General features: G+C 28.2%; 1 annotated feature.

Moving 5' to 3' along the window:
- Positions 315-906: an enhancer, noted in NCBI's record as "OCT4-NANOG hESC enhancer chr3:27924660-27925251 (GRCh37/hg19 assembly coordinates)". NCBI's record gives its function as "activates a minimal SCP1, AML or CMV promoter by ChIP-STARR-seq in naive H9 embryonic stem cells {active_cell/tissue: H9 hESC(naive)}" and the evidence as "EXISTENCE:reporter gene assay evidence [ECO:0000049][PMID:30033119]".

The following is a 1,158-nucleotide window of genomic DNA, read 5'->3' as shown; positions in this document are numbered from 1 at the left end:
TATCTTTTATATATATATTCATATATATATCTTTTATATATATATTCATATATATATCTTTTATATATATATTCATATATATATCTTTTATATATATTCATATATATATCTTTTATATATATTCATATATGTATCTTTTATATATATTCATATATATATCTTTCATATATATATTCATATATATATATCTTTCATATATATATTCATATATATATATATCTTTTAAAGTCGTATTTCTTCAAACCAGCCTTTATCACATTTTCTTCATTTAACATCGTATTAACACTTTCTGGGTCAATTTTTTTTTGTAGAAACCCATCTTGATTTATTTATATAACCTTCTATTATAGAATCCTAAGGGAGTTTCTAATTTTCTACTTTTAAAATTTTATTTGTAGTTAATACCTCACTATTTTTGTGCATATATTTACCTATTTGCTTACAGTAAATTCCTAAATGTGGCACTATTGGACCAAATGAGGATGCCGACTCCTGGGACCTTGACACATATTACTGGCAGTTCCTTAAAATTCACACTGATGTTACTTGTCTCTCCACCACCAGGAGATTGACATATAAGCCTGAGGGGGGCCTTGTATGTTCTTTCAAGCAGATAGTCTTTGGAAATACAACAAAGGATTTGGGAAGTGTAGGTGGCTCAGTTGACTGATGGCCCACAAATCATCACAAAAGAACTTTCAAAGGTGACATTTTACAGAGAGTGATTTTATCACTGTTACTGTTATGATTGCTGGTAATGAGGTGGGTGAAAGGCAAAATAGAAAGGGCTTTCCTTTGAGGAGAAAAAAAAACAAACTTTGTACAGTAACAAATTCAGATTTCACTCAGTAAACCTAAAGGCACCACTAAATGAGGCTTATTTAAATTAAAGATAAATTGAAAATAGTTAAAAAAAAGTACTCTACAACCTTGAGATTCCATTTCTTAATATGTATTAGAGAATCCCTGGTTATAATAGTATGAAACTGGAAAAATAAATGGAAAATAACTGAAATGTCCATCAACAGGAAAACAGATTAATTATAGTATATGCATACACCGAAATGTAATTCGGCAGATGAAATATCACTACATAGATCAACATGAATAGACTTTTAAAAACATAATTGCAAGTAAAGACAGATGTGAAACAATATA

The sequence above is a fragment of the Homo sapiens genome, chromosome 3, assembly GCF_000001405.40.
Source record: "Homo sapiens chromosome 3, GRCh38.p14 Primary Assembly".
Lineage (NCBI taxonomy): Eukaryota > Metazoa > Chordata > Mammalia > Primates > Hominidae > Homo > Homo sapiens.
This window is presented reverse-complemented; position numbering and strand designations above follow the sequence as displayed.